The sequence below is a fragment of the Homo sapiens genome, chromosome 6 (assembly GCF_000001405.40).
Source record: "Homo sapiens chromosome 6, GRCh38.p14 Primary Assembly".
NCBI classification, from domain to species: Eukaryota; Metazoa; Chordata; class Mammalia; order Primates; family Hominidae; genus Homo; species Homo sapiens.
In genome coordinates this window covers 19,142,490-19,165,290 of record NC_000006.12, presented here as the reverse complement: position 1 = coordinate 19,165,290, position 22,801 = coordinate 19,142,490, and the positions used below count along the sequence as shown (strand labels likewise).

Sequence of the window (22,801 nt, the reverse complement as noted above, 5' to 3'; positions counted from 1 at the left end):
GATTTTACTCGTTCAAATAGGTGTGCAGTGGTATCTTATTTTAATTTGCAATTCCCTGAAGACATGATGTTGAACACCTTTTAGTACACTTATTTGCCAGGCTATCTATATATATCTTCTTTGGTGAGGTGTTAGTTGAGATCTTTGGCCCATTTTTAAAATTTGACTGTTTATTTTCTTACTGCTGAGTTGTAAGGGTTCTTTGTATATTTTGAACACAAGTTCTTTATCAATTACGTGTTCTACAAATATTTTCTCCCAATGTGTGTTTTTCTTCTCATTTCCTTAACAGTGTCTTTTGCAGGGAAGAAGTTTTTATTTTTAATAAAGTCAATGTATCAGCTTTTTATTTCATGGATTCTGCTTTTGGTGTTATATTTAAAAGCTCATCACCAAACCCATGGTCACCTAGATTTCTTCTGTTATCTTTTGGTATTTTTAAAGTTTTGCAGTTTGCATTTGGATCTATGATCCATTTTCAGTAAACTGTGGAATATCTGAAATCTGTGTCTAGATTATTGTTTTATATGGAATGTCCAATTGTTCTAGAACCGTTTGTTAAATGACTATCTCTTATCCATTGAACTGCCTTTGCTCTTTTGTTAACTATGAAAGATTTGTTGAAATACTAAATTTCCCGACTCTGATTCTGAGTACGAAAGTAATTGGTTAAACCAAATACAGAAAATCTATACTGAAACATGCCTTAGCATATTAAATATTTGGTAATGTTTGTTAAGATCCTTAAACTCAAACACAGCCATTAACTTTCCTGTTTCATCAGAGACATAAATATTTCACTGTGGCTTGAGTTCTAATAATGAAGCAATCATTTATTGAGTGTGAGATGCTAAGCTCTCTCTCTCTATATATATTCATTTAATCCTCACAAAACCCATATGAGGTTTTATCAATATCCACATGGATCATATCATAGAATGGTGGCTTACAGAAGTTAAATACCTTGCCCATGGTCATCCGGCTGGTATATGGCAAAGCCAGGATGGGAAGTCACCAGGTGATTCCAGGAGCAAAGATCTTAAGCATCTTTTGATATTTTCTTCATGTTCTCCTTTAAAACTTAAGAGTTCTCACCTCGATTGGCTTCCACTTCAGGATTGTGGTGAAATGACTGCTGCAGTTCTGGGTCTCACATCTCTTCCAGGAAATTTAAAAAAGAAAATCAATGGAACTTTTTCTTAGAGAACCTCTTATACTTCCCCTTTCATTTTGGTTGTTTGTGCATTCCTAAAACAACTCCAGTGAGCTGGGGAGTGATGAAAGGTGATTGACTTTGCCATATATTGTTGATCAATTGCGGTTGAGGGAATTTAAATTATCTGTAGAAATATAAGGCCCCTTGAGCTGGGGATGGTCAGGTTTCCTTGCATGGGTTGGTGATGATGAGAAGACACCTATTTGGAAATGAGCTAGGCTCTGAGTAGAAAGCCAAGAATTTCCCTTACACCTGTTTGTATACTTTCCTAATCACATTGCACCTTCCAGCCTCATCTCCTGTGTACTTTCCTTAACTTCACGTAAATTGGATGATCACTGTTCCTAATTATGCTCTTGATAAGCCCCCTCTGTGCCTTTGCTACTTTGTAGAGGCATTATACTTTTGAGTCAAAGACAGCTGGTTTCAAATTCTAGCTCTATTCACCCAGAGTGAGTAACTTACCCTCCCCCATCCTCGGTTTACTCCATTGCAAAAATAGAAATAATAGCTATCTCATAGAGTTACAACAACTATAAATTAAAAGAAGAACTTATCACAATGTCTGTGGTGAGGAAAAATAATGATTCCTTGAAATAGCTCCTTGCTAATACCTCCTTGCTAATAGCACACAATTGTCTTCTGGCTTCATCTCCATCTTATCTTTGTCAAGACTTGAAAAACAACCAATGTATGAGAAGAGGGAAATATGGTAGTAAAAGCTTTTTTTTCTAAAAGTTTCATTTTATACATTGGAAAAATAAACTTCCATAAAGTATGTTCAGAATCCTTGCCATGAACATGGGGCAAGGAAAGGAGTCAGCCTCTTATGTTACCTTCTGTTCCTCACAAAAGTGACTCCTGTTGCCTGCAAAGCCTGAATGTCCCTCCCCTGCCATTGACATCTGGCTGATTCCTTTATTTCTTCATACAAATGTCACCTCTTCAGAGAAGATACTGCTGATCCTTCAATCTTTCAAGCTCATTAAGTCTTCTGTTATTGGTTCAGACAACACTCAGTCCTTCTCCTCTTGTAGCCCTCGCCACATGTATGATTATAGGTTCTCTTTGTCTTCTTTCCTGACTTGTGATCTCTCGAGGACCCAGATGGCTTTATCTGCTTCACTGCCATAGCCTAGTGCCTAGTATGGTCCCTGGCACACACACAGGCACTTAAACATAGCTCTTAGTGAAGTGAATGAACAATTGGAAACTGGCCTGAAAGGTGACAATTCTCAGAATCCAGAAAGCTAGATAGACTTATTCGTTTGCTGCATATGCCTGGAAAAGAGTAAGAAAAATCAGCAGAAATAAAATATTTCTAAAACAACACATAGATCTACTTATTGCTTTGTGGGAGTGTTAAAGGTCCAAACTGTTCTGTGAAAAGTAAAATGATAACTACATTGGGTAAGTTTTGTTTCCAGTTGACAGACACATTCTTGTATAAGTGTCATATCATTCTTATTGAATCAAATAATATTTTATACACGCAAAAAAATGGAGCAATAAGAAAATGGAGTATAAGAAAAAATGGAGGTAGACATGGTAAAAAAAAAAGTAATTAAAATTAAAATAAAGGATGTGAGGCAAAATTCCCTGAAATATCTTTAAAATCCCACAGAATATTAAAAAGAAAATGTTTAGAATGACTTAAACACAAATAAGATGTCTGATCTCATTAATATGTTAGTCACATTAGACAATGATTTTTTGTGTGTATATTGAAAAATAATGCATAAGATTTGTTGATTTATTTTCACTGGTTCCTGAAATACAGCATTGAAATTAAACACTTCAGATAACAACTTAAATGTTCCAAACACAGTTCATGGCAAACTTGGAAAAAACCAAATATAGTACAGTGTACCGCTGCATGAATTCTGGCATTTTTCAATTCTCCTTGAAATGGGAAGGAATATACATACTCTAAGGTGATTATCATCAAGAGATCCATGAAAGGTGATTAGTATAAAGTTTGTATTTTAAAAAGTTGAAGCCTGGGAGAAATGTATTTAGAGAATATTGATGATGGGAGGAGAATGGTGTAGAATACAGGATTGGAATTCAGATTTTCCTAGGTTTAAGTTCTAATTTCCAGTCAGCTATTTAACTGCTATTTAATCACTTTGACATTGTTTTTAAAACTACTTGATAAGGATAATAATTATAATAAAAACTCCTGTTATTTTTATTTGACTCAGAAGAATATACACCAACCATCTGACACATAAATAATGGCACAATAAATAGTGAGTTTAATTTTATTGTGTAGAATAAGAAGCCACTTCTTGTCAACAAGACAATAGGCTGCTTCCCTAACATGAAATCAAGTTCATTTCAACACTGAAGTTGAAACCACCAACAATTACAAATACTCAGGTCAAGAGCAATATGTTTGGCCAATGTCATACAAAGAAACAGCCCTTGTCTATTACAAATTGCATTTATCATAAATCTTGCTGACAACTTTGGTAAGACAGCCTCAAAAGGAAAATATTTGCAAAACTAGGAAATGCTCTGAGGGCTCAAAGGAGAAAAAGACACTACTGCCAGCAAAAATACCTGTAAGAAAGCTTTGTTCTCAGTTGAACTTTTTTTTTTCTGTCAATCTAAAAATCACCAGTTTCCTCCACCAAATGCAAAAACCAGTAGAGGAAACAGAACTGATGGATGAGTTCAAAGCCAGATTTCTTTAAGCCTGTGATGGCAGGTAGAGTCAGGGATAAAGATTGCTTCTTCAAGTGATATGATTTCTTGAACTTAATTTCACAGTCTATCAGTTACCTGAGAGACATTATTTTCTTCAGCTTGGTCAAGTCAAAAGCAAGATTTCACAGATATAAATAAAGAGAGGAAGTAATGTCTTCTTTCAGGGGAATATTATCCCCTAGAGACACGAAGCAACTTCTTATAGCTGTTTGTACCTCTGATGTTTCCCGAAAGGTTGGTTAAACCATGGAATACTTTTAATAGCTCCAGCTTCCTCATGTAGAAAAAAAAAGCCCAATAATATCTTAAATGTACAAATAAAGGACATTGCACCAGTGGATAAAATGTCACCGTAAGATTTACAATATTGGTGGTATTGTGTTATTGTTCTTAGGTATATTTTAATGCCTTTAACATACTTCTCTTGGATGATTTGGAAAACAGATCCTTTTAGCTAATAGGAACAAAATCAAAACAAATAATTTTCAGAAGCCTTCAGTGGTAGATTTGTGGATTGCATAGTATAAGAAGACTAGTGGAGGAAATTTTGATGTATTTACGTATTAATTCATTTTTATGTATTTATGTCTTCCCTTGTTCCACAGATGATTTAAGTTGCCTAAAAACAACACAATGTGATTTTTAAAAATTAAAAATAACTAAGTGAGGAAATGAGGGCAAATAAAAGAAAGAAAGAAAAGATAGACTGACAATTAGTACAAAAGCTACTGGCCATGTGGTTTGGTGTGTGTGTTGTTTTGTCTATGATGCAGAAATAATTTTCAGTGAAACAGTTGCTCAAATGGCTATGGGCCAACAGAGATTTTACTTTTCAAAGACTGAGAAGAAATAAAGTGGTCCTGACCTGTTTCCCCTGGAAAGTACTTCTTGGACCCCACCATGATGGTAGGTGGCCCAGTCTATTTGGCTGAAGTTCCTGCATTTGACAGCCTGTATAGCCACAGCTTAATCACTGGTGAAACTTTGACAGAGGAAAAAGGGTACTCTAGGTATAATGAAAGTTAAACTTTTTTCTCTGTTATTTTGTATACCCTGCATATGGTCATTACAGATAATGCTTGCCAGAAAAGCTTCACGAGCCTCCCAAGGCAAAATCATATCAGAAGGAAATAGCCTCAGCAAGAATGTAAATAGCAGCTTTTATTGTAGATAGGACCACTTGAATCTACAGAGAGGATTTCCAAGGTCATGACTGTGTAGCTTTTCTCTCTCTCTAGTTCTTACCCAGGGATCGTCTATGTCAAGAATGACAACTAGATTTTCATACTGAGTTACAACTTAGCTCAATTGTTAATTGGTAGTTGATAGCTAACACTGTACGTTGAGCAAGATTCTGTGCCTGAATCCGGCCCCAGTGGGAAAGACTAATGTGATCAATTAATGATATTGGCCAAGAGAGTGGGAATAAGAGTGGTGGCAAGTGCTTTGAGCACATCTGGTTTCAAGAGTTTTCTGTTTTTTTTAATTCTGATTATACCCCAGATTTGTAGGAAATTGACCTTATGGTACCTATATTTCTTTCCTAAGACCTTTTTAGAAAGGGTAATGATGAGTCAAGAGTTTTCTCGACTCTATATAAGGAAAGACTGATGACTTTCCTCCATTCTGTGATTGCTTCCATGTGTATTTGTTGTTGTGAACAAAGTACCAATATGAACAACAGCATATTTCATATATTGAAAAAATTATCCAATTTAGACAGAATTGATCTGGATTGCAGATGAAGAGCGAGAAATGGGATCCATATCCAGGGTTATATGTTTTCTGTCATTACATTACAGATCTTTTTCATTATATTAATTTGCTATTAAGCCAGAAATAGGCAGTTATGAACATCTTTTGCTTCTAGTGTGTAGGTGGTTTCCAATTTTAGACTCTTCCTATTATGGATGGTAGAATGATTTCAAGTCCAACATAAGTCATGTTTGTCTTCTAAGATTCTGGAGGTATTACTTAATCCTCTAGGAATATGAAAAGTATTGTGGACATTATCATGATTGAAAGGGTAAACACAGATGTGTGTTGCCAGTGAATTTTTGAGCATGAATAGTGTGAGAACATCATCGATGGAATTCCAAGAACTTAAAATGCTGTGGGAAACTGGCTCCCAAAAAGTTACACAACATCTGACATGCAATTATCCTTCCACTAATCATTTCACTAAGAGTCAGTAGTGTTCATGAGGCTAGTTGTTTGCTTAAAAATGTTTAGAGGAGAACATTTAAAACTATAATGAAATGGTAACTGTAGACTGAAATTTGTAGCTGAAGATAATGATAGAATCTGGGCAGTTACCATTATTTTCATATACAAATGTGTATAGTGTATTGATCCATGACTGGAGTCATCTGTGATGTTGTAAAAGATCATAAAACTTGCTTAGAGAGCTAAGGCTTCCCAAAATTGGTAGGTGAATTTCTTTTTACTGATGTTGAATGTATTTACATTTTTATTATTGGAATAGTAATCTGTTTGGTAGGAAGCGAGCAGGTGTCTCTGAAGAGATATCACAGTGGGAAATGTTTATGGAATTTCCATACTTGGTTTCCACCCAATAGTACATATCTCATAACATTTCAGCTAAATTAGCACATTCATTTTTGTGCTATATGGGGGGTGGGAAAGAACTAACCTTTTCTAGTTTTTGAAAATTAATCAGACATTTTTAGCTTTCATTTTCTTTTGAAATAAGAAATAAAAGTTGCAAATATGAACTTCCACCTTGGCAGGATTAAAAACTCATTCAGGCATGAAGAAAATCAATATCAAGTCAGGAGAAAAAGGAAATGAGAAGCCTCAATTATGAAGGTTTGAAATAAAACTCCCGTGCACAATGAGTCCTATCTTTTCAAGGTCATCCCTGGTAGCTGCTGATCCCTACAAAGACATGAACTTATGAATCAGGAAGTATAGTACAGCGTGGTTGAGGAAACGCTCTCCGAGGGAGAGCTTCTACATGACTGCTGTGCTTTCAGAGAATCTCATAGCCATCACTGATACCTCTAAGGCGGTATTTAGAAGATGAAAGCTTGACCTGGTACTTGAGAAAAGTCACCTGACCAGGAATATGCATTATGTTATATGAATAAGAAGTAAATTTTTATTGTGTTAAGGCATTCAGTTTGGAACTTATTAGTTTCAGCTGCTAGCATCATTTTAAATAACATGGACAATTCTTCTTATCATCTCCAGAAATTTTTCCAAAGTGTCTCAAAATAATAACAAATTGAGTAAAACGATATTCTTGCTAGGTAAAGCCAGCTTTCAAGCAAGTATTCTAGACCCCAAATCCCTCCTGTAGAGAAATTATAGACGAGCCTCCAATTCCCCCACCTGTCACGTACTTCCACTAAAGGGTTCACAGGAAAGAATATACCCACCACAAAGGTGCCATATAGAATGGGTTTCCTAGCAAATAGGACCTGGAGATATTGTTATATAATAAGAAATATATATGTGGATTCTGCCCCAGATTCCTGACACACAGAGCTCCTAAAACCCTTGTGTATAGGGGTGCTAGGATAATTTTTTGTTCTAATGTTAGGTCTTTGACCCAGGTTCCTGACACAGAGCTCCTAAGACCTTTGTAATTTTCTGAGTGATAGGAGCATCTGGCACAGAGCTCCTACATTCCTTGGAATTTCCTGGGTGAGAGGAGTATCTTTTGTTTTCTGGCTGCCAGGAAACCAACAATGTGATTAGAAGATTGGAACCTTCAGCTCCTGTCCCCCAATCCCTGGACCTCTGAGGAGAGGAGAGGGGCTGAAGGTTGAGTTGCTCACCAATGCCAGTGACTTAATCAATCATATCTATGTAATTATGCCTCCATAAAATCCCAAAATGACTAATTTCAAAGAACTTCTCGGTTAGTGAAAACATTTGCATGCCAGAAGGCGCTCGCACTCCAACTCAGCAGGTATGGAAAATCCTACACTCAAAGCTCTTCCAGACCTTGCCCTGTGTATCTCTTCATCTGGCTGTTCATCTGTATTCTTTATTATATCCTTTATTAATAAACTGGTAAACATAAAATGTTTCTCTGAGTTCTATGAGACACCACAGCAAATCAATTGAACTCAAAGGAGGGGACCATGGAGACTCCAATTTATAGCCAGTTGGTCAGAAGCATAGGTCACAAACTGGGGCATACAACTGGCATCTTAAGTTTGGGCAGTTTTTTGGGACTGAGCCCTCAATCTGTGGGATCTGATGCAATCTCCAGGTAGCTGTGACAGTGTTGAATTAAAATGGAAGACACCCAGCTGGTGTCCATTGCTTGGTGTGTGGGAAACACTCCACAGGCACCTGGTTACAGAAGTGTTAAGTGGGTGTGTGAGTAGAAAAAACACTATGTTTTTTCCTATCCATATTATATTCCCAACTCAATTTTAGGTACTGCTTTTAGTTTTCTAATAAGCGAACAAAACAATGAGCACCTTAACACTGAGCGCTACCTTAGGAAGGCTTAACTGACTTACAGGCCTAAGAAAGTCAAGATGCTTTATCTAAGGTAACAGGTTGTATATTAAGGTTCCTGGATATTTTGTTTATTTGCCTTTTTTGCATGGAGCATCAAAGCAATAAACAATTTTATGTCAGGCTAATAGTGTGGCTGGAACATGAAATTTATAGAAGTAGTAAAAGTAATGATTTATATTCTAAACCGAAAGGGTAATCACGTGATCTAAGACTGGCAGAATCAAAAGTCAAAACTGCTGTCAGTCATCTGGAAGTTTTCAAATATTCAGACATTTGGCAGTAAGTAAACAAAAGGTTTGAGTAAGTGACAATTTTTTCTTTAGCTTTTGAGAAAATTATTTTGGTATATACATTAAATATTAATTGAGATAATATATTTCACATATGCATTTTAAATTGTATAGTAATGTAGTACTACCACTATTTTAAAACCTTCGGTTATAGCTTTGGTAAGGTAGCTATTCAAAATACACTTTAAATTTTTTATTGCCTGATAGATTCTGCCCATATAAAATATCCTTCCGGAGATATGACAATAGAGTAATTTTACTGAAACATTTCCTATTTAATTTTTCCAAGAATATTCTGAACAACCATATGGAAATGTGAATTTTTCAACTAAGTAATGATTTTCTGCAGTCATTGCAAGCAAAATAGAAAAATGCAACTGTGAATCTAGACTCAGAGGTTAAAAACAAATCAGGCAGAGTCCTAAACAAATTAAGGCTGCCCTGGTTCAAGCTCTGGCATTAGTGTTCCATATGAATTTTGCTAAAACACTTGCAAGTATTAGAATTTGAGGTCAACATCTGTGGACAGGTTACATTTTCTTTAAATCCAAGATATTTTTAATTGCTCTGGGCCTGTATTATTAATAAGATCCATTGAAAGAAAAGATAGAATCCTTGAATTTATATTCTTTTTATTTTATGAGATTCCTAGACCAGAATCGTAGGATTATTATGGTAGGGGAGAATTGGGAGGTTAACTTAACGGGGTTATAGCCTTTGCATCACATAAATTATAGTACCAATAAATAGTTAACAAATATCAACCATTGGTCTTAGATGCTATTGCAGAATTCTTTTTACAGAAAGAAAACAAATTCCATATTTATGAAAAAGCTTGGCCGGGCGCGGTGGCTCACGCCTGTAATCCCAGCACTTTGGGAGGCCGAGGCGGGTGGATCATGAGGTCAGGAGATCGAGACCATCCTGGCTAACAAGGTGAAACCCCGTCTCTACTAAAAATACAAAAAATTAGCCGGGCGCGGTGGCGGGCGCCTGTAGTCCCAGCTACTGGGGAGGCTGAGGCAGGAGAATGGCGTTGAACCCGGGAAGCGGAGCTTGCAGTGAGCCGAGATTGCGCCACTGCAGTCCGCAGTCCAGCCTGGGCGACAGAGCGAGACTCCGTCTCAAAAAAAAAAAAAAAAAAAAAAAAAAAAAAAAAAAAAAAAAAGCTTACAATCTAGTTAAGTTTTGAAAAGCCAACACCTTAAGGATTGATATAAACAAAATATTAAAAAGTAAGTGTTACAGGAACGCCAAAGAAGACTGGCATTAATGGGTAATATTAACTCCAAAAAAGCTGAGTATTTGAGGTTGATCTTAAAGAGTATGATGGGTATAAATTAGTGAAGAGTAGGGAAATAGAGTTCCAGAATACAGCAGGGTAAGAACAGGGTAGAAACACTAGTGAAAATTTGCATTTACACACGTTTTCTTGTAGGTGAGAGTTTATCTCGAGAATGCAGCATCTAGGAATTGTGCTTTTTGTGCCTCTTTCAGCAGATTTTTTAGTTCATAATGTTCCTCTGGCCCTGGTTGTAAGATATTTATGCTCGACTGTGTTCATTGTTTTTTGTGAACTTATAAAAATTGCTTTTTTATTAGTCTATAAAAGCCATGTTTGGAGACAGCCTAAAATAAAAATTAATGCAACTTATCACCCTACAGCATGGAACAAGTGCCTGTTTCAGTCTCTTATTTAAGCACCACAGATGCGTTGAAACCTAATAAAAATTGTTCCCTGGCACATCAACCCTAATCAGAGAGTAAGAAGCTAAAAATCTGTGAATCGCCTACAACCAAAGGGAAGTCTTTTGAGAGCTGCATTGTTAAAACTCTGAGAACAGGCATGTTATGTCTAGAGGCATAAAATCTGGGCTTTGTGAAGAAGCAAATGTTTATCACTTAGTAAATACTCTTCCTCCTTCATCACCTTGACTTTTTAAAACAATTAGTCCTTTTAATTGTGTTATGGCTCTCTTTGGCTTTGAAATATATCTTGCTGGACAGAAAAGGAGGCTGCATTCTTTATGGTCCTGAAATAATAATTGCAAGTAGTAAGACATATGAGATGTCCTAGTTTAAGGCATGTTCAATAACTATCTCCCTATATCCATGAGGGTGAGGGTAATAGGAAATACATAAAAACGAGCCAGTTTGGAAAATCATAACAATAACAGCAATAATGATTATTATTATATTACAAACACAAACACAGCACACAGCCCTGTGGATGTGATTGTTTTCCAGTGGATAGCTTGGGCCTCCCAGTTCACTTCTGAATGTGCCCAGGGATGCTGTGCAGATGGCCAGTACTTGCAGTGTGAGCCAGCTCACTGGTACACAGAAAGCTGGAGTTTGAGAGGAGAGAGCAAAATACAAAGTGTGTGTCCTAGACTCTCCCATCTAGCCTTCTCATGAGATAGGCCAACAGCCTTCAACAGGTGATGCTTCCTTCAGTAGCCCCACCTCCCTTGGCTTCTGCCCCTGACCTGGCTCAGGAGTCTTCATGGGAACAGTGTGCCCTTGTCTTCATCAAAAGCAGCCCTGCAGGGAGGAGGCTCGGAAGGAACTGGTAAGAAAATAGCACTCTAATGCTTTTTCCTCAGGTGCTCTCCAGATACATTCTCAAGGACATATTCATCTGTGAATGCGGATTTTTATTCCTATGCCTCATTCTGTTGGAGCTGTAGAAAACTAAACTCTATCTGGTTAGTCTTTAGGAAAAGTATGCTGGCCCTCCCAGATGTGATAAGAAGCCAGTTAAAATGATCTGGGCATTAAGGCAGCCACAGTGGAAGAATTCTAGCTAAATAGATACCATCTGTACCCCCAGAGCAAGCACATCACATCCAGCTCCTGACCCGATTATCTCTGAGCTATGGCTCCTGTGGCTCGGTCCGCAAGTCCATGCCTGGGGTTCCCAGAACACAGACCAACTGGTTGTGCAATGAAGACTTTATGAGAAACTTTGTTTTCTCTTTTCCTAAGGGCCTGAAATCAGCAAGCCAAAAAGCATTTTATCCTAATATAGAAAAGAATTAGACAGCAGATGCTTCTTCACAGCAGCCTGTGTGCTGGGGATAGAAAAAAAAATGGCGTAGCCTTCTCTCTGGCAAGAGTTAGGACTGAATCATCATGGGAATGTTTGTGGTAAAATTACATTTTTCCTTTAGATAGTGGAATTATTATCACTGGGCTATAGACAGCTAGTCCAGAGTGACTTTGATGAGACATACTCTTTTTCACCACATAAAGAGTGTATCTTTGGCTCCAAGGGAACAAAATATCCGAGAATATCGTCATGGGAGGAGAGCAGATGGGAGACCCTGGAAAAAGGTTGGCTGAGATCAAGAAGGGTGGAGAGCCAGCAAAATAATGAAGAAGATTTGTTTTCTTTTTGAACTAAGGATGGGGATTCGGTCATGTCTCCATAATCGTGTGAACACAAAAGGTCATCCCAATGAACAATGTTCCCAGTGGCCTCCATGAAGCAAACTACAAAATCAATTCTATATCATCTAACCAAAGACCACCACTAGGGACTAGGATGCCTTCTTAGGCTTGATGAGTGAAAATACAATTTTGTCTAGAGGCTTATTCAGATCAGGAAGGAAAAGGAGAAAAGAGAATTATTGAGGAAGTTCCTCCAATATTGGAAAATATTGGATTTCCCCCCCCCCCCTTTTTTTTTTGACAGGGCCTCACTCTTGCCCAGGCTGGACTGCAGTGGCATGATCTGGGCTCACTGCAACCTCCGCTTCCCAGGTTCAAATGATTCTCATACCTCAGCCTCCTGAGTAGCTGGGACTATAGGCGCTTGCCATCACACCTGGCTAATTTTTGTATTTTTTGGTAGAGATGGGGTTTCACCATGTTGGTCAGACCGGTCTCGAACTCCTGGACTCAAGTGATCCTCCTGCCTTGGCCTCCCGAAGTACTGGGATTACAGATGTGAGCCACCATGCCTGGTGATTTTTTGCATTGCTAATGCTTTAGATTTTCATCTATACCTGGCAGTTGCCTAGATATCCAGCTTGACTCCTTGCTGCTAGTGTCTTCTCTCATTTAATCAGTTCTTCCAGTTGGCCTTTGTTTTATCTTTCTAAAAGATTAAATTTCCCTCGGCAATCCCTTCCCTTTGCTAGCTCCTCATGAAATATCAAAGTCTAGCTTCTTCAACCTGAACATCATCTATAAAATATGGATACTCCCTGCCTCCTCCAATCCTACCTCCCAACAGTCCTCTGATCCAAGATGACTTTCTTCTCACTATTCCTGGAAGATATCTCCTCTTGCATTTCTATGTATTCAGTTGATTATGTTGTTCTCATCAAAAATGGGCACCTCCTTATATACATCTGCTTATCCAAATCTGTCCACTCCCCAAGCCCCTCCTTCAAGATCATCTTCAGTGCTCCTCCAGATGTGTCTTGCGTATCTCTGAATTTCTATAGCATCTAATGCTTATACTTTTGTAATTTTAGCACTCCATTTAGGCTTATTCAGATTTTTTTCCAACATTATTATGTATTTGTATAGAATGTCTTCTCCATTGAAAGAAAAATCTCCTCTGTGACACGGACTGTGTCACGGACATTTTAATATCCCTCATAATACTTCAAACAGTTTAATACAAACATTTAAAATCTTTTTGTTCCCAAATCAGTCTACACGTAGCCTTTAAACCTCATTGTCAGCCTTTGGGAATGGGAAAATAAGTCCAAATGAGGCAATCCATTGGAAGCTCTTTTAATTCATCATGCTTCTATCTCTCCTCTCCCCACTAGGTTAAGAGATCAGAGTAACTTTTGAGCTAATGAGGACACTAGGTGACATCAAGCCCAAACACTTTCTGAACAAGTGGCTGGTCCTGAGAGGTGATCGAGGTCACACAACTATAAGATATAAGCAGGAACTGAAAAATCACATCTCCAGACTCATCACTTGGTATGTTTTCTCTCCTTTTGTTATATTGCTCCCCATCCTAGCTTGTCTATGGCTGGTGGGCCAGAAAATATTGGTTAATTCAATTTTAGAAAAAAAAAAAACCCAAAACTAAAGAAATGAAAACAATGCGGGAGGGAAAACAAAATGTAGGGTTGCTGTGAACAGGCTTTTAGCTTTTCAGTTAGGTTTTCAATGCTTCAGGAATCCAGGGCATGGCTGTCGATTATGGCTGTGCTTTTGTTCACTTTGATTCTGTTTTGATATTTTCTTTTTGACATTTTAGAAGTTGCTTTTGGATTGAACTAACCACATTGCTTCCACCACCAATTATGATTAATTGTCAAAAAAGAGCCACATTATGCCCTCCATACTGTTAGGTTGCTGCTTCTTTGTTCCAGATAATTCTACCTGAGATAAAGCAAAAATCACAATGCTGGACCTAATGAAAATATTGATGAAATAGTCAAAGTGACAAATGCATAAAATGTAAAAAAAAAAGAGTAGAAATTTGATGCACTTTAGAAATACTCTAAGAATCACTACATTTATGTTTTAGGATGCCAAGAGGTATTTCTAGAAGGACTAAAATTAACATATCAGTATGGTTTTATAGAATTCTAAAACAAGATTTAAAAGTACTTAATTTAGCTGTTTATCAAGGTGTTGGTCATTAAATTCCTTGATTCTCTGTTTCCCCATCAGATGAGAATTATACAACTCACATATTTGCTTTTATTATTAGAAATATATAAAAGTATGTGAAAATGTGTTTACATATTGAATATATTTTTTGTGGACTTAAAGAAGGGTTGTTTCCTGGGCTGAGACTTATTTTACTGGTTGTGTTATATTGATTTTCCATGTGCATTTGCTAGGAAGAAAATAGTATTAGGATTTTTATTTTTTAAATGTGAGGCTTACCAATCAGGCTACAAGATGGATGAATTCAACCACACAGCATATAATTTTTTATTCTTTATGCTTCTATGTTATCTTCCCTCCATTTCTCTCCATGTCCCACATTCCATCACCCCATTCTGATCACTGTCAATCACTGCACTGTTTTTTCCTTGCTCTGATCTCCTAACCAGATAGATCCACAACTGACAGGAACTTATCAGGAGAGACACAACAACTCACAACATACAAGCCATATATGAACCTGACAGCCCCTATTAGGGGTGGATGCGCACAGGATAATGATAGAGCAGTTGACAAATAACTAGCGGTTTGGCTCATTTACACTGAAGAGTTTTGCATGCTGGGGTAGTTATGTGCCCATTTATTGCACCTTCATAGGCAGTACAAATCCGATTTAGTCCACTTAACCCTTTACTGTGATTTTTGCTGAGAATGCACTTACATAGTCTCACAGTAAAAGAGATACTCAGAACTGAGCAAAAAACAAAATCAAAAACTCACTTTCTAATTTTCTTTCTCATAACTACCTTTAGGATCACTACAGATCAAATATAACTAGTGTTTCTGCAGAGCAACATTCTTTTTTCATATATGCAAAGATAATTCTGTTAACATAATAGTTACTTATAATCTAAGTAGGTCTCCGTTTCTGCTTTCAGCTTGGTGTAGTTTATAGCAGACCAGTGATAAGATCCAGGAAAAATAAATAAAACAAACATGTAGAAAATTGAAATTTAAAAATAATATGTACTATGTACAATAGCTCAAAAATTATCAAATACTTAGGAAAGACATACAAGACCTCTGCACTGAAAATTAAACACAGTATTCAGACACACTTAAAAACTTGTAAATAGAAGCATATTCCATGTTTATAGACTGAAGACTCAATATTTTATTTTTTAATTAAATTCTAAAAATATTCTCATATTTTTGAATTGAATTTTTGAATTGAATTGAATTACAATTTTGAATTGTAAAGTGTACGTTTTATGAACTATGTCCCAGTTCTGGCCATAGCGTCTTACTGATTTCAGCTGCTGATGACAACCTGCTCCCCAGAGAGGGCCATTTTATATCTTAATGGTGTCAAAATGAGGGTTTCTTCATTTGCAGTTCTGTAAAACCTACAGTCAGATGGGTAGGGTGGCAGGATCTGGTATATGCAGTAATCATATTCAAGATTAATGGCCAGGCGCGGTGGCTCACGCCTGTAATCCCAGCACTTTGGAAGGCCGAGGCGGGCAGATCACGAGGTCAGGAGATTGAGACCATCCTGGCTAACACGGTGAAATCCCGTCTCTACTAAAAATACAAAAAATTAGCCGGGCGTGGTGGCAGGTGCCTGTAGTCCCTGCTACTCAGGAGGCTGAGGCAGGAGAATGGCGTGAACCCGGGAGGCGGAGCTTGCAGTGAGCCGAGATGGCGCCACTGCACTCCAGCCTGGGCGACAGAGCGAGACTCCGTCTCAAAAAAAAAAAAAAAAAAAAAAAAAAAAAGATTAACATACTAGGGGTTGCTAAGTTGTCTGTAACCAATCATAGAAAGGGTGTGTACAGTAACACATGTAGAATGATTAATAACAGTGTAGTGAGTTAAGTAGTGTCCACTCCAAATTCATGAGACACAATTTTTTCAAGTTTTTCTAGTATTTCCAAACTAACATATATGGTTACTACAATTCCTATCAAGATGCCAATAGGTTTTGCTGCTGTTGTTGCTATTGTTGGGTTGTTGCAATGGTGGGGTAGGGGTGTGAAGATTGTCAGGCGTATTTTAACATATACATTCAAATGACAGGCTACCTTGTGGAAATACAAAGTTGGAGGACTAACACCGTCAGATATCAAGATTTGTTCCGAAGTTTCATAATTAAGACAGTGAGGTGTTGGTTCAATGACAGACCAATAGAACAGAATAGAGAATCCAGAAATGGATTCACAAATATATAGTCTCCTGGGGCATAACCAAGTGTAACTGCAATGCAGTGAAGGAAAATATTTTATTTTCAATAAATGATGTCAGTTGAGATGTATATTTATAGAGGAAGAATTAAATCATAATTTGAGGTGGCTCATAGATCTAAATGTAAAAGGCAAAACTCTAGGACCTCTAGAAGAAAAGAGAATATTTTCATGAAACTTGGGGAGAGAATGATTTTTAAAACAGGACTGAAAAAGCACTAATTATAAATAAAAGTTTGATTAAGATTAAAACAGTTTCATTAAAACACACCATTAGGAGAGTGGTAAGGCAAGCTACAGAGAGGGAGAAGACATTAGCAATGAATACACACACACAGACACACACACACACACACACACACACATATACACACACACATACAAAAGACTTATATTGGGGATACATAACAAACTCCTACCTATCAGTAACAAAAGGATATGTCAGTAGAAAAATAAGGTAAGGATTTCAACAAGCACTTCTCTAAGAAGCACATCCAAATGGCCAATAAGAATATGAAAAATATCTACCTTCATTAGTTGTCAAGGAAATTCTGACTAAAATATAAAACTCCTACGATACAACCAAATTGGCTACAATAACAAAGACTGACAATATCAACAGATTGTAAGCGTGTAGGGAAACTAGAAGCCTCACCCACTTCTAATGGGTGTGAAAATTGGTACAGCTGTTTGAAAAAGTTTGGCAGTCTCCATTAATATATATAGTATGCATAGTTTATTACCTAAATGTTTGTGCTCAACAGAAATGCATATGCATGTGTTCCCAAAATACTATTTGTAAGAGCACAAATATTAATAGATATTTAATATATTGTTGATACCTGCAATAAGATACTACACAGCAATGAGAACTGCTATCACATGAATGACATGAATAATTGCTGCACACACTACTGAGTGAAAGAAACCAGACATAGAAGAGTACACACTATATAATTCGATATATGTAAATTTCGAATACTGGCTAAACTAAACCATGTTGTTAGAAGTCATGACAGTGATTACTTTTTGGGGAATTGTGACTGGGCAGGGCATGGGGCTTCTTGGGTGCTAATGTTCCATTTCTTAGTCTGATAGTTAAAGGGGTGTGTTTGCTTTGTTCAAATACATCAAACTGAGCACTTAAGATTTTTACACTTTTCTACATGCATATTATATTTCATTAACAGCTTTCTCAAAAACAATCCAGATCACCTATTCCTTCTGCTTCTACTAATCATGTGAAGTCACTTAATGCAATTACGATTGCTCTCTAAAATTGCTCTGTAGTATCAGTGCAGTATGTAGAACCTGGTCTAAAATAATCAGGAAATTCCAACTTTAAAGATTTCATGTTGTCTTTTAAAAATCAACACACATACAATCAAGTTGTCAAGGACCCAGCTTGTCCACTGGAGATAGGAGATTCAGGCCAAGAAGAGAATTTTAATATAGTCATGCATTATCTATAACTTGTAGGTTGAATAAAGATAAGAATTAGAGTGGACTTAACTGAAAATAGCCTTGCGATAAAAACAAGTCACTTTATTTCAATGACACTCACTTCCACTGTGATTTTTATCTTGTGCTTATTTAGTTCCTAGGCCCAAACCAAGCCTTCTTGGTGTTTTTTTTTTTTCCTTTTCTTTTCATTCTTTTTTTTTTTTTTTTTTTTTTTTTTTGATTCTTCAGCTCTGCAAAGTCAATGTAACCTATGGAAATGGAATTGCCCTTTTGCACAATGTCACTGAAGACATAGTAGAGAAGGAAAGCAAGTGTGAAGCCAAAGTATTTGTGAAGTCTGAATTACCTGTTTTGAACTTGAATTTCAAAAACATTGTTTCAAGTGAATGTGATGTTATTTTGATTTACTATATTAGAAACAGCCCTTTCTTAGTTCAGTCTTGCAAGCTACTCACATAAATTAAAGCAGGATCTCATGAGGGCTGATGAGAGAGAGAGAGAGAAGACAGGTAGCTTCGTACAGGCAAGCTGAAGTATATGTTTTAAGTAAGACTTTGAGGGGACATTATTCAGTTTAATTATTAGGAATTCATGTTCACAAAAGGCAAAGCTACAAGTGTGTGGCTGGTTTATCAGAATAGGAAAGCAAAGGATTATATGGATTGAGAAAGCCAGAGAATTCAAAGATAAATAGAAAGTTATGGTTCAGGTCACATGTTATATATAGACTAGAAGCTGAAACCCAAAGAAGTTCAATTACTTGTCCAAGTTCATATAACTAGTTGGGGGTGAAACCAGGGCTATAAAAGAGATCTCTTATTTGTGATCCAATTCTTACACCACAATACTGTGCTTCCTTTTGAAGATTAGATTTTTATATCTGTAGCTTAATACACTTTAATCATATATCTTAAAATTTCCTTCTAAGTGATTGTTAGGTAAATACGTTTATTTTCAAAAGTAGCAGTATTGCCTCAGGAGGTCACCAGGAGCTTTTATTGCAGTTTTCATTGTCAGTTCTTCTGGGCTCCAGCTGAAAGCAACAGTCTCCAGACTCCTTTGCAACCCAAATTCAGAATGTGTTAAAATCCCTGGAGATCGCCTTGCCATGGGGCCCTAAAGAATTCATGTAGTCACTAACAAGAGTCCAGAAATAAATTTAGTGGCTAAAATATGGTACCTTGAGTCCCCACATAATGTGAGGCTGTGGGTTCTCTGCTAAAAATGGGGTCTCCAATGTTTGGCTCTGGAAGCTTTAGCGTGAGGAAGACCAGGGCTTGGAGGACATCTGAAGCCCTCTTGACTTTAAAAAAAATTTTTTTCCCTCTTGAATTTTAAATAGAGCTGAGCTGTGAGAATCCTTTTAAAGTTTTTGACAATTTCCTAAAATATAGTATGCACATTGCCATTGCCAGGTGATATGAGTAGAGCTCATTTCACCCAAGTCTTACATTGAAAACCAGAAAGCTAAAAGAAAACATAACTCTTTTTTTCAATTAAAAATACCAATTTGACAGATATTTTACTCACAATAGCCTGGTAACAACCTACCCAAATGGCATGTAGTCATGCATTTTCTTTCTCTCCAAGGACTAGCTATGTCTCATGATTTTCACATATATTATACAGAAGAAGAGGAAATGCTCAAAGATGATGCTTAGCTCAAGTGAGTACTCTTAATGAATGAGTGGAAGGGGAGGACCATTAAGACAACTGAAACAAGAAGAGAAGCAGGTCAGTGTGGGAGAGGGGTCCATAGACACAGCTGGTACATCATGCATCTATCCATCCAGTTAATATTTATAAAATAAACTCCATTTTCTTTCAAGAAACTCACTGTGTTACAGCAGAAATAGGTCAAAAAGGAAACAAAGAAACAGATAATTATTTACAGGTACATATCCTGGTGGATTTTTCCAGCAGACAGGTTGAAAGTACTAGCTTGGGGATGAAATAAAAATTTACAGATGTTTGTATGGGAGAGGGTAAACAAGGAGTATAATAATTCTTACAAATGGCACCAGAATTCTTTTTAAGGTGGGAATTATGTTTGTTGGGAAATAAAACTTAATTGCTTGGGGGAAAAAATCGAGGTCCTTGTTATTGGTTGGCTCCAAGGTCTCCAAGAATAGAGCTAAGCTGTTCTGTTAGATAAAAGGGTGGTATGTGTGTTTGACTGGGTGGGGAGGAGGGGAGTGCAGGATGGGGAAGACAAGAAGATTCTAGAGCACTTCTAAGAGTGGGCTCTGCAGAATTCTAGGGGTTCCTGATACTCTTTTAAAGGACCTGAGAAGTCTAAACTATTTATAAGATAATACTTTGGTGTTACTTGTTTTTACTTACGACATTGGCATTTGTACTATTGGTACAAATGCAATGGTTGGTAAAACTGCTGGTGCCTGTATGAATGAAGGTAGTGGCACTAAAAGATATTTTGTAAAGCTAATTTAATTTAAAAACATCTTTTGGCCTTGTGCAGTGGCTCACACCTGTAATCCCAGCACTTTGGGAGGCTGAAGTGGGAGAATCATTTGAGCCCAGTAGTTTGAGACTAGCCTGGGCAACATAATGAGATCCCGTCTCTACAAAAAATTTCTAAAAATTAGCAGCACATGGTGGTGCATGCCTGCAGTCCCAGCTACTCAAGAGGCTGAGGTGGGAAGATTGTTTGAGCCCAGGAAGTAGAAGCTTCAGTGATCCGTGATTATGTCACTGCACTCCAGCCTGGGAAACAGAGTAAGGTTCTGTCTCAACAGAGTCTTTCGTAAGGCAGTAAACATTGTAAATTTTATCAAATCTTTTTTTAAAAATTTTTGTAAATTATTTTATTTCTTCCTTGATGATTTAGAGGTACTATGTTCAAACCAGTACAAATATTTCATACATAATACCTGGCCATTTTCTAACCAGTTGAGTAATTTGTTGCACAATAAGCTACGTCACGTCTTTCAGCAAGAAATACATTAAATTTGAATAGTAAAGACATTACATATGAATTACAGCGCAATTAAAATTTGCTTTAAATATTGCTTTGGGGGAGAGGACACCACACTTCTACTCAATGAAGGGAAACATTTTTACAGTCCAGAGGTCTTTTATTTTTTTAACACGTACGAGGCCATGAATTCATAGGGAAGAGGTTCCAGCAGCTCAGGCTCCTTCCCATTGGTTCTCACACAGTGTGCTTCTCTGGGTGGAGCAGGCTGGCGCTTCAATTGAACCCAGGTACCTTTCTCTTCGGCGTCTTTCTTTATCTTATCATTTTCCTTCACGCGTTTCAGGAAGCCATCTCAGCTCTTAGAGTGCTTAATGTGCTCAATACGCACGTTAATCCTCTTGGCGAGAATCTTGCCCTTAACAACAACGTAAGAGCGTGCTGGGGAACATTGTAGGCTCTTCCAGTTTTGCCATGGTAACACTTGCGGGCATTCCTTTTTCAACAGTATGCATTCCCTTGATGCCTACAATGTCACCTTTCTTATAGATTCGCATATATGTGGCCAAAGGAACAACTCCGTGTTTTCTAAAAGGTCTGGAGAACATATATCGCGTGCCTCTCCTCCTTCCCTTTGTGTTCGTCATTTTGGCGAATTACTGGAAGATGGCGGTTCTGGCCAAAAGGAACCATCAAATCTTAATTCTTGAGTTTATATCTCCCTTTCCAAGTATATATCTGGGTATGGTCATATTTTCTTCACAAACTTCAGCAAAAACGATTATAACAGGTAGAATGCAGAAACAGATATGAGAATCAGCCATCTTCTATTATGCCAAACATTAAAAAGGTTTGCAAAAATAAAAACAAGGCCATAGTTCATACGTTGTGGAGCAGGTATGCCACCCGGTACAGTAGCCACAGCCACAAGTGACCATTCACATTTAAATTAACTAAGATTACAGTAAATATCTAACTCTCAGTCATACTAGCTCACTTCAAGGGCTCAGTGGCCACATCAGCACAGATTACCTTTCCATTTTCACAGAAAGTTCTACGGGCAGCATTGTTATAGAGTATATATATAAAGGTAACTTTTTATTCTGTGTTTCTAGACAAAAATGAAGTTTTTAAGAAAAAAGTGAATACTTTCATTGTAATGTGTAAAAATAAGCATTTTTCAATAAAACTTGTCTCTGTTCTGCTTTTCAAGCTCACTTCTTTTGGGCACTTGGAATCTCCAATTCCCACTGTCAGAGTTATTTCAGATCAAGGATCAGAGGAAGTAAGCATATTTATTTATTCCACAGCCCAGAAGGTGTCAACCTCAGGCTCTTCCCAAGCAATAAGGTCATCTTCAGTCAAAAGTCCCTGAATTCAAGTGGCCCTGTTGTCAGTGAAGCTGTTCTGTTGTCAGAAGGGAGAGAGAGAAGGCAAAAAATTCTTTCTAGCATGAATTCAGGTTACCTTCTCAAACCTTCTGAATGGCACATTTGCCCCCAAAGTCACAGTTCCCCCTTCTGTGTCCAAGTCTGCAATACTTATGACACACATTTCGAATAATATGGCTCTACCTCAGAGATTTAAGATTGCTAGAAACTGGGACAAGAGAATGCTGGTTAGCAGATGCCAGTGCTTTACTTTCCCAATATTTTCTCTTCCTGTGATAACAACCATCATCATTCTTTTTTTAGGAGACAGAAACCCATGCACAGAAATTTGTGTGCTGTTATTCGCAAGGTAACGATATTTGAGTGTTTACTCTCACGCTGGTGTTAATTAGTTCACAGCATATTTAAGTCTGGGAACAAGGCAAGTCAGCTAACATCTCCGAAGGACATCTTTTACACAG

General features: G+C 37.3%; 1 long non-coding RNA gene and 1 pseudogene across 1 annotated transcript in view; one reads left to right on the top strand and one right to left on the bottom strand.

The window, feature by feature from the left end:
• Positions 1 to 22,801, top strand: part of LOC101928519 (uncharacterized) — a 111,938-nt gene that overhangs the window by 15,190 nt on the left and 73,947 nt on the right. Inside the window, exons 4-5 of the long non-coding RNA NR_110860.1 lie at positions 13,506 to 13,665; positions 19,605 to 19,680. This is a non-coding gene — a long non-coding RNA (uncharacterized LOC101928519). The remainder of the gene's footprint in view (positions 1 to 13,505; positions 13,666 to 19,604; positions 19,681 to 22,801) is intronic.
• RPL21P61 (ribosomal protein L21 pseudogene 61) lies at positions 21,096 to 21,638 on the bottom strand (annotated as a pseudogene).